The following is a 14,621-nucleotide window of genomic DNA, read 5'->3' on the forward strand; positions in this document are numbered from 1 at the left end:
ATATCTTCAAAAATCATGACTGCGTTCATTTAAGAACCTTGGGTTTATATCTAGCGATAGGTAATTCACCTCAGAGGGAAAGCTTCACTGAGCTTATCATGCAGAGGGCATAGGTAGAGGTGAAGCCTAAAGAGACAGCAGGAGTTCCATGGAAAAAGGACAGGTACAGGGAGGCTAAATTGGGTTTCAGCTCTGTCACTTTGCAACTGTGGGATGCTGGCAAGTCATTTAATCCGTCAGAGTCTTTGTTAATCTGTAAGTTTAGGGCTACTGAAAATGAAAGCTAAAACTTCACAATGAATGCAAAACACCTTAGTTGCTGTTATTGTTATTATTATAGGTACAAGTCTGGATGTTAAACTTATTTTCCATTAAACAATACACTTGTTAAGAGTAAGTATTGTACCATTCACTCTTGAATGGTTTGACTATAGACACGGGTTAATAAATGTAACTTCTTATTGATCTTGGCATTAGATACTGTGTTTGAAATTTGATTGCTATCTCCCTGCTGCATTTTTCTAAGGAAGAGAGCACTGATTTTTAATTTGCTTATTTGTAAAAAAAATGGAATTAATAATACCTACTTTACAGTTATGAAATTAAACTCAGGTGTGAACATGAACAGCAAGTTGCTGGTACATGGAAGAAATATGTTTTAAATATTTTTTTTCTCCTAAGTTACACTGGCTTTAAAAATAATATTCTTATGAAAATAAAAATATTTAAAATATATTAGATTTTTAAAATAAAGAATGAAAGTAAAAATAACATTTACAATATAAATTATTTCTGTGTTTGACTAGAAACAATACAGAACATTCAATATCAACATAAGCATAATCAAATTCCTCATAAGGCTATGATATTTGCGCACCACTTGATTGTTAAAAATCGTTTTGGCTTTGAGCTATATAGCTGCCAGTTACTACAAATCAGTTCCCAAAGAATTGCATCATTTTCTATTTCTTAAATTGTGGACTAAAACATGTTATTATTTTGCATCCTGCAGGGAAGTAGGGCAAGAAATTGAATATATTTGATTGCATAAAGAGTTGAAGTAATAAAAAGACATTTTAATTTGAACTTGGAAAATGTTTGTCTAATCTCTAGGTCAAAATCATGATATCACAACAATGCAGAGAAATTGTTCCTATGGTGACTTAAAAAATATATATATAGTTCTTTAAAATACTAATTCTGTAATATATATGATATGATATATAACATATACAACAGATGTTACATGAGGAAAAATAAAATGGAGATGCTGTTAAAAACAGTTGAGTCCCTTCATCACAGGAATATGATGCTTTTGATATGTTAATGTGACAATAATATAAGTGAAATCACATAAAAACTCCATAAATGTGCCCTGGTCTTAAGCTATTTGTTCAAGCTAATTTAATATTCTTTTCTTTGTTGCTTACAAAACTCCACCTACTCTGGTTTTTCAACTACCCCACCCAATCCTAGCATGCTCTACCTCAGAGCTTCACACTCTCTATTTCTCTTCTCCCGTATATATCCATGTTTTCTTCCTTTATTTTATTCACATGGATGCACTCAAACGTGCTTTGCTCTCTAGGCAGTATTAAATGGCATCCCAGTTACTTCCTATCACTTCCCCTGCTGGCTTCTTTTTATTTACTTTCCTTCCTTCCTACATTCTTCCCTCCCTCCCTCCTTCCCTTCCTTCCTTCCTTCCTTCTTCCCTTCCCTTTCCTTCTTTTCCCTTCCCCTTCCCTTTCCTCCCTTCCTCCCTTCCTTGCGTCCTTTCTTCCTTTATTCCCTCCTTTCTTTTAATTTTGGTAGTACTTAACAATCTTTGTCACTGGACCACATGTATACATTATTTTATCTTCATTGTCTTATCCCTCCACCTACCCCATAGGATAGACACCCTGTTTGGTTTACTGCTGAATACCAATCCCTAGAATAGTAGTTAGTACATAGTAAATACTCACTAAATCACTGTTGAAAAAATATTCTGTTGGAAAAAAATGAAAAAGTATCATTAGTAGGCCACTCATGTTAAAGAATCTCCAAATTTAGAAAGCAAACTTTTTATATACATTGGAAAATAAATCCAGGGAATAGCACAGCCTGAAACATAATAAAGAGAAGTTTTTTGAACTTATCACTATCAGATATAAGAAGGCAAGAAGTTAAAGGGGTTGTACTCAAAGAAGATAAATGATGCTCCTTTCCCCCACCTTGCTCACACAAAGTAGATTTCTACAATGGTTTCTGCCCAGTGCACAAATTGGTGAGGGTAGAACTCTGGGGAGTTCACTTGAACACTACTGCCTCATGGTAGGGATGAGAGCAGGATATTCCAGACACCCAGAGGGAAAATTGAGAGCACCACTAGCCACATGTGTCCTGGGCTGCTGAGCAGGACGGCTTTGCAAATAATTCAGAAGTTAAGCAGTAATTTGATGAAACAGAATACTTAAGACTCACCAAGACTTTAATATAAGCAACAGCACGAAAAGAATGGAAATCAACAAAAAGGATATTCAATAGCTGAAGAATTTCTATCTTCAAGATATCCAGAGAATACTATATCGTTTATAAATTATCAACTAAAGTTATCAGAAATTTAAAATGTTTGCAAAATTCAGATTTAAAACATTTAACAGGTTGTTAAGCAAAATGGATATGACTGAAGAGTGAATTAATTAGAAGATGTAGCAAAGAAATTTGTTTTCTAGAATGTAGTACAAACAGACTGAGATATGATGTGTCTGAATGCAAATTTAGAAAGAATAAATTCCAGATGATTATCTGGATGTAACAGAGGATAAATAAGATTGATATAGTATAATATCTGTATGCTTGAAATTTAGTGTCTAGTTGAAAAAAAAGCACTAAAATATTTTGGAAGAACTTAGGGTCTTTAAGCCAGAAAAATCACAGTGATAAGTGTTAGTATCTCCTGAAACACTAAGGACATATTAACATGCCTACAAGACTTGAGAACAAAACAAAACAAAAAAGTCTTATCTTCATGTGGCTTAGTCTATTAGGCACATCATGAAGATATTGTAAGTGTTTTGTTGGAAAACCCCAATATTCCTGTCACATGAACCCATGACATGTCTAATAAGTCTCTACAATGGCTCATGAAAAAGGGAATAGATAAATGCTGAATGCATATTTGTGAAATGCTGACCCACTGTGGGATAAAGTGAATGGGAGAAGCACAACGGAAGACAATGCTGAAAAATGCCTTCTTCCCAGAGTGAAAATGCTTCATCTCAGAGAAACCTAAGCACGACTCACCAGGAGAATAATTTTTCTCTTCCCATGTCTTCCATCAAGATACAGACATAATTCGGTGACAGTATTTGTCTCTTTATGTGCTATCCTAAGAAAAATTCCCCAAGGGAAATTTAACCTGCTGTGTCTGATCACCTTAACTAACTGCTGTGTCTGTTCTCTGAGGACTTTAATGCCCACAAAGCTGACGGAGCCTTTCTAATCAGTGAGCTGGGGCTGTTATTTGTCCTAGAAATCACAAAAAGACAACTTCAAAGGACTCAAGTGAAAGTAGGAAATTAGGTCTTAAAATATTTGAATGGTGCCTGAGCCAGAGTCAATGGACCATTCCCTCCCTTGCTTTATATATTGTGCAGCTCTTGCTCATTAAATATCACTGAATACACCCAACAGCTCTTTAAAAGATCAAATGTCTGAACTGGAAAGATCATTAAAAAGTGATCTGTGTCTCTGAAACCAGGAAATAATTCTGCTAAATAGTAAGAAGCCACATGGGGTGAGAAGCCTACATCTTCATTTATTTTGCAATTTGGGCTGTTAAGAACTTTTAAGATTTTATAAAATTTTGTGTGTAAAAAAATAATCTGCAGACCTTATAACCCCCAAATTACCCTTTGAACACAGCTCAGTCTTTCTTTCTGTAGACTGTGATGTTGAGGCAGGAACTGTGAGAGAAGCCAGATCTGTAAGAAACCTCTTATTTCTTGGAAACTTTCAAGTAGTTTAAGAAATGAAATCCTCAGAAGTGTTGGTTTCCAACTATGTAGTAATTTTTTCCTCTAAGTTGTCATAGATCATTAAGTTCCATCTTCTGTGGGGCATGGAGACTGCTAAAGGATGAGGACTGCTAAAGGATGAGGACTGCACTCAGAGAAACAAATGTCATTTTTATAGGACCGTGATTGTTATTCTAAACAGAATTGGAAATGGATTGGGAATGTGAAGCTCAGTTGACCACATCTGATGACAATATTAAAGCATGGAGAACTTTCTGAAGCCTTAAGGATATTGGGAACACTCAACATTGTGTGTAATCATATTTAGTAGGAGACCCAGATAGTTTTTTGAGTCAGTTTATTATTATTATTATTATTATTTTGAGACAGAGTTTCACTCTTGTTGCCCAGGCTGGAGTGCAATGGAATGATCTCAGCTCACTGCAACCTCCACTTCCCGGGTTCAAGAGATTCTCCTGCCTCAGTCTCTGGAGTAGCTGGGATTACAGGCACCTGCCACCACACTCAGCAAGTTTTTGTATTTTAGTAGAGATGGGGTTTCACCACCTTGGCCAGGCTAGTCTCGAACTCCTGACCTCTGGTGATCCACCTGCCTTGGCCTCCCAAAGTGCTGGGATTACAGGTGTGGGCCACCCTGCCCAGCCTGAGTCATAGTTTTACTTAGTCTTCTTTCGGCTGTTGCTCACTACCTCTGTGACCTTGGATGAAGTCAGCAAACTATCTTTGCCTCAGTTCAGGGTTGTTATGACAGTTGCTTTTTTTAACATAGCATATAAAAATATATAACATGGTGAATGAAACACAAAATTACTATGAGATTGCTAATAATATGGGGATGGGATGGGAGAAGTGGTAGTACTTTTAATGATGATGGTTGACTCTAAAGGAATAAATAGTCTTCAAACAAATAAATAGTCTCCTATCATATAACTGTCATTAAATAAATTAGCTGTCACTTTCTTCAACATTATTCTTAATCTGATCCCCTTATGTTTTTCTAGTCTTATCTCAAAATATTTTGTATGTAGCAGTTTCCTCTTCAGTTGGTCTCCCTTGTCTCTAAAAATGTCCTCCATTTTCTAACCAAAATATCATTGCTCAAACTGATCTATGAGTTAAGCTGCATATGAGCTCTCTTTTTTTTTTGTTTGTTTTTTTTGAGACGGAGTCTCGTTCTGTCACCCAGGCTGGAGTGCAGTGGCGCCATCTCTGCTCACTGCAAGCTCTGCCACCCGGGTTCACGTTATTCTTCTGCCTCAACCTCCCAAGTAGCTGGGACTACAGGCGGCCACCACCACACCTGGCTAATTTTTTTAGTATTTTTAGTAGAGACGGGGTTTCACCATGTTAGCCAGGATGGTCTCGATCTCCTGTCCTTGTGATCCGCCCGCCTCAGCCTCCTAAAGTGCTGGGACTACAGGCGTGAACCACCACGCCCGGCCAATATGGTCTCTCTTTTCTGCTTTTGTGCAAGTTCTACTCATGAAATAATCTGCTGCTTTGCTCAATAAAAAAGTTTTCTGGTTACTCACTGCTCACTGTATATGGAACATCAGGTATATGTAATGTGAGTAGATCTTTTAACAATCTGTACTGGATTACCAGCTTTTAAAATGCAGAGGCTACATCTATCAGTTGTGTCCCCTAGAGTAGCATATTTAATAAGGAATGGTGATTCTATCTACTTTTTACTACAAAATAAGTGTGAAAGCTGGTCACTAGACTTTAAGCTCTGGCTTGTCAATGACTTTTTCTTATGAAAAGCAAGAAACGTTTTCTCAGCATCAAAATATCAACTTTTACTTTCATTTTTTATTGTCATTCATTTTTATTTTGTTCTTTCATAAACATCCACATATTAGGTCAGCTTAGAACCATGCTAACTGTTGGAGAACAGACCAACAGTATGTTGGTAGGACAGACCACGATAATCCTCACCCTTGAGAAGCAGGAAGCCAACTGGATCACCATAAGAAGAGCCAATTACACTAGGTGTGATAAGTGCTCCTTCAGAGATGTATAAAGCCAAGAGAAGGAGCCCTAGTATGGAACAAGCCGGTATGAATACATAGTGAGTGTCTATGACAGATCATTAGATGAATGGAAGGATAGGTAAGGAGGAGAGACAGACAGATTTTTTTTTTATTTTGTATCTGATATTCTTTATTCTTTCCTTCAGATCTGGGCTTCCATCTGGAATCACTTTTCTTCATCATGAAGAAGTATTTTCAGCAATTTGTATAGCACGAATCTGTGGAATATAAGATACCTACAATTTTGCCTGGGGCAAATGCAATTATTTTACCTTCTTTTTTTAATTATCAGGTTTGTAAAGGACAGTTTTTCATACATTAAAATGAATACATTTTAATAAACATTTTAATGAATTCGAGTAAATTTATTCATCATGTAACCAAGACCAAAATCACGATATAGAATATTTCTCTCAACCCAAAACATTTCTTCGCACTCCATTCCAGTCAAACTCCTATGCCCCAGACAACCACTTATCTGTTTTCTAACGATAGATTTGAATTATCTTTCTACAGTTCCAAATAAACAAAATTAGACAGTACCTGCATTTTGTGTCAGACTTTTTTTTTTTGCTCAGCATTTTCTTGAGATCTATCAATGCTTTTGTGTGTACCAGCAGTTTCTATAACTTTATTGAATTTTTTTATAATTTTATTTTATTGTATTCTATTGTATGAATATATAATAGTTTGTTTCTCTATTCACTTTTTCCTGAATTTGGGTCTAATTTTTAGCTATTGTGAAAAAAACCTGCTATGAACCTTTATGTGCAAGTCTTTATGTAATACATGTTTTCAATTCCCTTTAGTAAATACCTAGGACTATAATTGCTAGGTCACATAATAAATGAATGTTACATTTTACTACAAGTTACTAAATTATCTTCCAAAGAAATTATACCATATTGCATTCAAGACCACCCACCAGCAATATTGCTACAAATTTTCACCAACGTTTTATGTTTTTTTTTATATAGTTTTAGCAGTTAAATGGGTATGCAGTAGTATCATATTATGGTTTTAATTTGCATATACCTAATGCTAAGAGTTTTTTATGTGCCTATTGGTCTTTTGTACATTTTTCTATGAAGTATTCAAACTTTTGGCTCTTTTTAGAAACAAAGATATTCTTTGAAAACGAGAACAAAGACACAACATACCAGAATCTCTGGGACACATTTAAAGCAGTGTGTAGAGGGAAATTTATAGCATTAAATGCCCACAAAAGAAAGCAGGAAAGATCTAAAATTGACACCCTAACATCACAATTAAAAGAACTAGAGAAACAAGAGCAAACACATTCAAAAGCTAGCAGAAGGCAAGAAATAACTAAGATCAGGGCAGAATTGTAGGAGATAGAGACACAAAAAACCCTTCAAAAAATCAATGAATCCAGGAGCTGGTTTTTTGAAAAGATCAACAAAATTGATAGAACGCTAGCAAGACTAATAAAGAAGAAAAGAGAGAAGGATCAAATAGACGCAATAAAAAATGATAAAGGGGATAACACCACTGATCCCACAGAAATACAAACTACCATCAGAGAATACTATAAACACCTCTATGCAAATAAACTAGAAAATCTAGAAGAATTGGATAAATTCCTCGACAAATACACCCTCCCAAGACTAAACCAGGAAGAAGTTGAATCGCTGAATAGACTAATAACAGGCTCTGAAACTGAGGCAATAATTAATAGCTTACCAACTATTCAACTTTTAAATTTCTAATTTATGGAGCATAAATTAATTTTATTTTTGGAATATAATTCTGTAAGTTTTAACAGAAGATTATAATCATGTATAAGGCCAGGCAAGGTAGCTCACTCCTGTCGGTTGTGGATTGCTTGAACCCAGGAGTTCTGGACCAGCCTAGGCAACATGGCAAAATCCCATTTCTACAAAAATTACACACACACACACACACACACATACACACAAAATTAGCTGGGCATAGTGGCACAAACCTGAGGTCCCAGCTACTTGGGATGCTGAGGCAGGAACACTGATTGAGTCTGGGAGGTCAAGGCTGCCGTATAATACAAAATGGTTTACAACATAACATATTCCTTCATACCATTCCTATGTAATCACACCTTCCTGCCAGCCCTGGCCACGGTGACTACCAATCTCCTTCATCTCTATTGCTTTGCTTTTCTAGAAATAAATATAAATGTAATCAAACTACTGTTTGATCTAACTTTTTGAGTCTATTTATTTCACTAAACCTAAAGTATTTGAGTTCATCCAAGTTACTTTGTGTCTCAATAGTTCATTCTTTTTCACTGCTGAGGAATATTCCATTGTAAACATGTACCACAGTTTGTTTATTTGCCCCTTGAAGGACAATAGTGAAGGAAGATTTTGGTGAATATGAATAGAGCTGCTATAAACATTTGTGTATAGGTTTTTGTGTGAATAAAATGTTCTCATTTTCTATGATAAACACCATATAATTTGGGAGCTTTTTCTTATTTTTAAAGTGTAAGAATTATTTGTATATTCTGGACACAAGTACTTTTTCAGATATGGTAGGATAAATAATGCTTCCGTTGGCCAAGGATATCCACATCCTCATTCCTGGAACCTGTGAATATTACCTTATATGGTAAAAGGACTTTGCAGGTATAATGAAGAATTTGGACATGGGGAGATTATCCTAGATTATTGGGGTAGCCTAAATGTAATCACAGGGGTCTTTATAAGAGAGAGGTAAGATAGAGGAAGTAGGATATGTGACAATGGAAGCAAGAATTTGGAGGATAGAAGGATGTGGATACAAGTCAAGAAATGCAGGCTGTCTCCTAAAGCTAGAAAAGGCAGGGGAGGCCGGGTGTGGTGGCTCACGGTTGCAATCCTAGCAATTTGGGAGGCTGAGGTGGGTGGAATATTTGAGGTCAGGAGTTCGAGATCAGCCTGGCCAACTTGCTGAAGCCCCGCCTCTACTAAAAATACTAAAATTAGCCGAGACTACTGGTGGGCACCTGTAGTCCCAGCTACTCGGGAGGCTGAGGCAGGAAAATCTCTTGAACCCTGGGGGTGGAGGTTGCAGTGAACCGAGAGTGCGCCACTGCACTCCAGCCTGGGTGACAGAGCAAGATGTCTCGAAAAAGAAAAAAAAAAAAAAAGAAAGAAAAGAAAAGGTAGGGGAAAGGACAGCCTGCTAGTGCCCATACAAAAATAAAAACAAAAATAAATAAATCCTGCTGCCACCTAGACTGTGGTTCAGTGAAACAGATTTCAGAAGTCAGACCTCCAGAAGTGTTACAGATTAAGCTTGTGCTGTTTTGAGTCATCAAGGTTTTGTTCATGTCTTACAGCCTCAGTATGAGACTAGTGTATTGAACACGCAATTTGCAAGTATTTTCTACCAATGTCTCATATTTTCATTTCTCAGAAGTGCTTTCCAAAGAACAAAATATTTTATTTTTTATCAAGTTCAATTCACAATTTTTTATGGTTCATGCTTTTTAGTTTCAACTAAGCAATATTTGTTTAATACACAGTCAAAATATTTCTTCTATGTCTTCTAGTTGTATAATTTTAGTTTTCACCTGTAAGTATATAATCTATTTTTAGTGTTTTTTTTTTTTTAGTTTGCTTTTTGTCCTTACATGATTGGAGGTAAAGGTTGAAGTTTTGAGGAATTTCCATGGGTTTAAAAAAATCATTTCCCCTTAAATTTGGTACCTCTGTCCAAAGTCAATTAACTGTATATGCTGGAGTCTATTTCTTGACTCTCTCGTCTATGGATTGACCAATAAAACTCAATCTTAGGACTTTATACTAAGTTTAACATCAGGTAGGGTGTGTCCCCTAACTTTGTCCTTCTTTTTCACAATAGTTTCGGATACTATAGATCTTTTTTCTTTTTTCTTTCTTTTTTGAGATGGAATCTCAATCTTGTGGCCCAGGCTGGTATGCAGTGGCACAATCTCAGCTCACTGCAACCTCCGCCTCCTGGGTTCAAGCAATTCTCCTGTCTTAGCCTGCCAAGCAGCTGGGATTACAGACGACCACCACCAAGCCTGGCTAATTTTTGTATTTTTAGTAGAGACGGGTTTCACCATGTTGGCCAGGCCGGTCTCGAACTCCTGACCTCGGGGGATTTGCCGGCCTCGGCCTCCCAAAGTGCTGGGATTACAGGCGTAAGCCACCATGCCCAACACTTTTTTCTTTTTTGTAGGAACTATAGTATCAATTTGTCAATTTCTAAAAATAAACAAAAAATACTGAAGTTTTGATAGTATTGCATTGAATTTGTTTATAAATCAGTTTGAAGAAAATTCACATAAGAAAATACTGAGTAGTCTACTTCATGAAAGTTGTATGACTCCATTTTTAAGTGTTTTCAATTTATCTCACCAATGTTTTATAATTTCCACCGTACAAATCTTACATAAATTTTGTTAGTTATATTTTTCAATAGTTCAGAGTTTCTTTAAACTATTGCAAATAGTTTCTTTAAACTATTATTATGATTTTTAAATTTGAGGCATTCATTGATAGTATGTAGAAATATATTTGATATTTTACATCTTTGTATTATTGAACCTTGCTAAATGCTCCTATTAGTTCTAGTAACTATTATGTAGATCCTGTACTATTTATTGCCTACACAATTATATTGTCTATTTTTAAAAGCTTACTTCTTCCTTTTCAAAATGTATGCTTTTATTTCTCTTTCTTTTTTAGGATCTTTGGTATAATGTTGGATAGAAGTAGTGAGAGTGCATATCCTTGATAATATTAAGGGTAAAACATTCTTTCAATATTAAATACAGTTTAATCTGTACAAATTTATTTATACTTTTTTCAGATGGAAGATGTTCACTTCTATGTCTTTCTAAACATTTTCATAATGAATGTGTATTAAATTTTGTCTAATGCTTTCTTGGATTCTATTGGTATGTACCTTTCTTTTTTGTCCTTTATAGAATGTATTATTTTGATTTATTTCCATGATAGCCTTTGCCTTTCAAGAAATTAGTCATTTTCATTTAAGTTGTCAAATGTTTTGTCAGACAGTTATTTATAATACTCCCTTCTACAGTAAAGTATCTTGTTTTCCTTCTTTTCATTCCTGTTGTTGGTAATTTGTATCTTTTCTCTTTTGTTTTTTATCAGTAGAGATGTATTGTTATAAGTAAAAAATATTTTCTAAAATAAATTCAAGTTTTTGCTTAATTGATTTTTCCCTGTTGCTTTTTATTATTTCTGTTGTATCTACTTTTGTTCTTAATTTCGTTTTTCCTTTTTTTTGTTTTGTTTTTGTTTCAACTTGTTTCTACTTTACTAGCTTAATCAGGTGGAAACACAGGTCACCAATTTTAGACAATTCCTCTTTGCTAATATGAGTGTTTCATAATGTAAATTTTCCTATAGTTGTATTCCATTAAGTTTGATATATTCTGATTTACTCTTTCCTTCAGCTCAAAGTTATTTTCTAAGTACCTTCATGATTTAATCATTGACACATGGGTTTGAAGAAATGTGCTGCTTACTTTCCAAGTATTTGAGTATTTTAAAGACACCTTTCTGTTAGCAATTTCTAATTGAATTCTGTTAAGGTCAAGGCACATATTCAGCATGATTTCAGACATTTTAACATTGTTAAAGTTGTTTTACAAGCCCCAAAATGCCCCATTTTGACAAATGTTTCTTTTAAACTGGAAACTAGTATGTATTCAGTTGTTGTTGGACAGAGAACCTTATAAATACCAATTAGGTCCTGTTGCTGTATAGTATTATTCAAGTCTTTTATAGTTCTACTGATTTTTCTTTCAACTTGTTTAACAATTAGTGAGAAAAAAGTGTTAAAATGTCCAAGTATAATTATGGATCTGTCTATTTCTTCTTTTAATTCTGTCAGTTTTCGCTTCAATTATCTTAAAGATCTATTATTCAGTGCCTGAACATTTAAGAATGTTATGTCTTCTTGACAGACTGATTTGCCATCATTATAAAAAAATTCCTCTCCTTTCTTTGTAATATTAATTATTCTGAAGCTTGTTTTCTTATGCTTAGTAGGTTTTTGGTAAGTTTTTTCATCTTTTTTGTTGTTGTTAAGCAATTATCTTTGTTCAGCTGTGCATGAAGTTATCTTTTTTTCTCCAGGTGCCATAAAGATTTTCTCTGTAGCACAGACATTTAAAAATTTGATTACAAAGTGTGTTGGTAATCTTCTTCTTCATTTTAATACTGCTGAGATTCACTGAGCTTTTTGACTCTTTGTGTTCATACGTTTCATCAGATGTGATAAAGGTTCAGCCATTATTTAAGTGTTCTTTTCTGTCCCACTTTCTCTCCTCTTCTTTTGGGAGTTTAATCACAAGCATATTAATTATCTGGGTGATGTTTTGCAGGTAACAGTCTTTTTTCTTTCTTTTTAAGCTTCACATGGGTAGTTTCACTGTAATATGTAGTTTTATGACTTTTTTTCTATAGCATCTAATTTTCCATTAATAACATCCTCTGAATGTTTAATTTCTGGTAACATTTTTGCATTCCTAGAATTTCCATTTAAATATTTTTTCTATTTCTATCTCATTCATATTATATTCACGTTTTGCTTTACATCCTTAATCAAGTGAAACACAATTATAATAGCTGTTTCAATATCCTTGTCTATTATAATAATTCCAATATCTCTGGGATTTTTTTGGGATCTGTTTGTCAGCTAATTTTTCTCCAGTTATGGGTCATATTTTCTAGAGTCTTTTAGTAGCAAAAATATTTTATGGGATATTAATACAATATTTTGTTGCTGAGTGGTGACTCGTGTGTGTGTGAGAGAGAGACAGAATTGCTTTCTTACAAATTAATTTGGTATTTTTGAGGTTTGTTTTTAGACTGCTTAAGTAAAGGTCAAAGATCCAGATTATTTATATCCAGGCAAGTGTAGACCCACTTCCAGTGCATAGTCCCTCTGGAGTCAGGACTGCCTGTCTCATGTATAAACTGTGATCTCCCACCCTGGCTAGAAGGGGCTCAAGTAATTTCTAGTCTGGAATGAGTCCTGGGATTTCTTTATCTTTCAGGTTTCTCCATAATTGTTCTTTCCTCAGAAGTCTGTACTTGTAGTATGTTACTCTACTCTTGTATATATTCTTCTTCAGGTAAAAACTCCAGTGAACTTTATGCAGATTTCTGAAACTGTTTTCCTACATATCTCCATCCTTTCCTGAACACTGTTGTGGACATTTCAGCCTCCTCCGTGTTTCAGAACTCTAATCTCTGTTTCCTCACCTTTGTAAGGTGGCCAAGTTCTAATTATGTTCTTCCCTGCACCACCGTCTGAAAATTGTACTAAAGCAGTAAGTCCGGGCATTCTTAAGTGTTTTCTCCTTGGGAATAGAGAGGAGGAAAGAACAGAGGGAGGCAAGTTCTGGACTGCTTGTTGCCAATGTCTGTAAATTGTGTCTCCTCTATTTTGTCCACTTTTTTTAGTTATTTGTGGGGAAAGGTTAATTGTGGATTTGCCATTTCTTCATGGACAGATTCAGAAATCTTCTCTCTTAAGTTTTGAACGATATTTTACTATAAATAGAATTCTAGGTTCCAAGTTTTGTTTTCTCATTTAGTATGTTGGAAATGTCATTCCATTTTTAACCAGCCTAAAATATCATTTATAATTTTTACTATTTTTAATATTTTCTCTTTATATTTATTTTTTACCAGTTGTCTATGATGTGCCAAAGAATTTTATTTTTAGTATTTATTCTATTTGAATATCACAAGTTTTTTTGATTCTGTATATTGATGACTTTCATCAATTTTGAAAAACATTTATCAATTATATGTCTAATATTATCTTCATTCTCATTCTTTTGTATTCTGCTGAGATAGGTATGTTAAACCATTTAAAAATGGTTTTAAATATATGTTAGTTACATGTATATTATTACATGTATGGTAAACCATTTACCCTTTATGTTCAATTATATGTGTGTTAAACCATTTTTAAAGGTTCACATTTTTCTCAAGAGCTATTCTATTTATTGTAGTCTTTCTTTTATTCTTTTCAGTTTGGATAGTTTATACTACTCTTCATTCAGGTTCACTGTGTTTTGTCTGCTGTTTAGTCATTGAATATATGTTTCATTTCTGATGTATTTTTCATGTTTTGCTTTTCTCTCTCTTTTTTATAGCTTCTGTATTTCTGCCAAATTCTCCAACTACTCATGCAGATTGCCCACGTTTCTACTAGAACTTTAAATAGATGTATCATAGCTGTTTTAAAGCCTCTATCTAATAATTCCAAACAATGGATCTGCTTATATTGACTGTTTCTCCACTTGAATATATGTCCTATTTTTCTTGCTCTTTTGTATGTTTTGTAAATTTTGACAACATGTTAGACATTGTGTGTAATTCACTAGTGAAGATTGAAGTATATATATTTACTTCCATGAAAGAAAAACTTTTATTCTTTCTTTGCTAGCATAAAAATGTGAGTCTAGTTTTAAACATTTTGAGGTCAAGTTAGCACTTTCCCTTCGGGAGATACGGGATTTGAGCACTAGTAAGTCTTCAGATAATTATTATTACTATTCTTTAAAGACAAG

This window comes from Homo sapiens, chromosome 2 (assembly GCF_000001405.40).
Source record: "Homo sapiens chromosome 2, GRCh38.p14 Primary Assembly".
Classification (NCBI taxonomy): domain Eukaryota; kingdom Metazoa; phylum Chordata; class Mammalia; order Primates; family Hominidae; genus Homo; species Homo sapiens.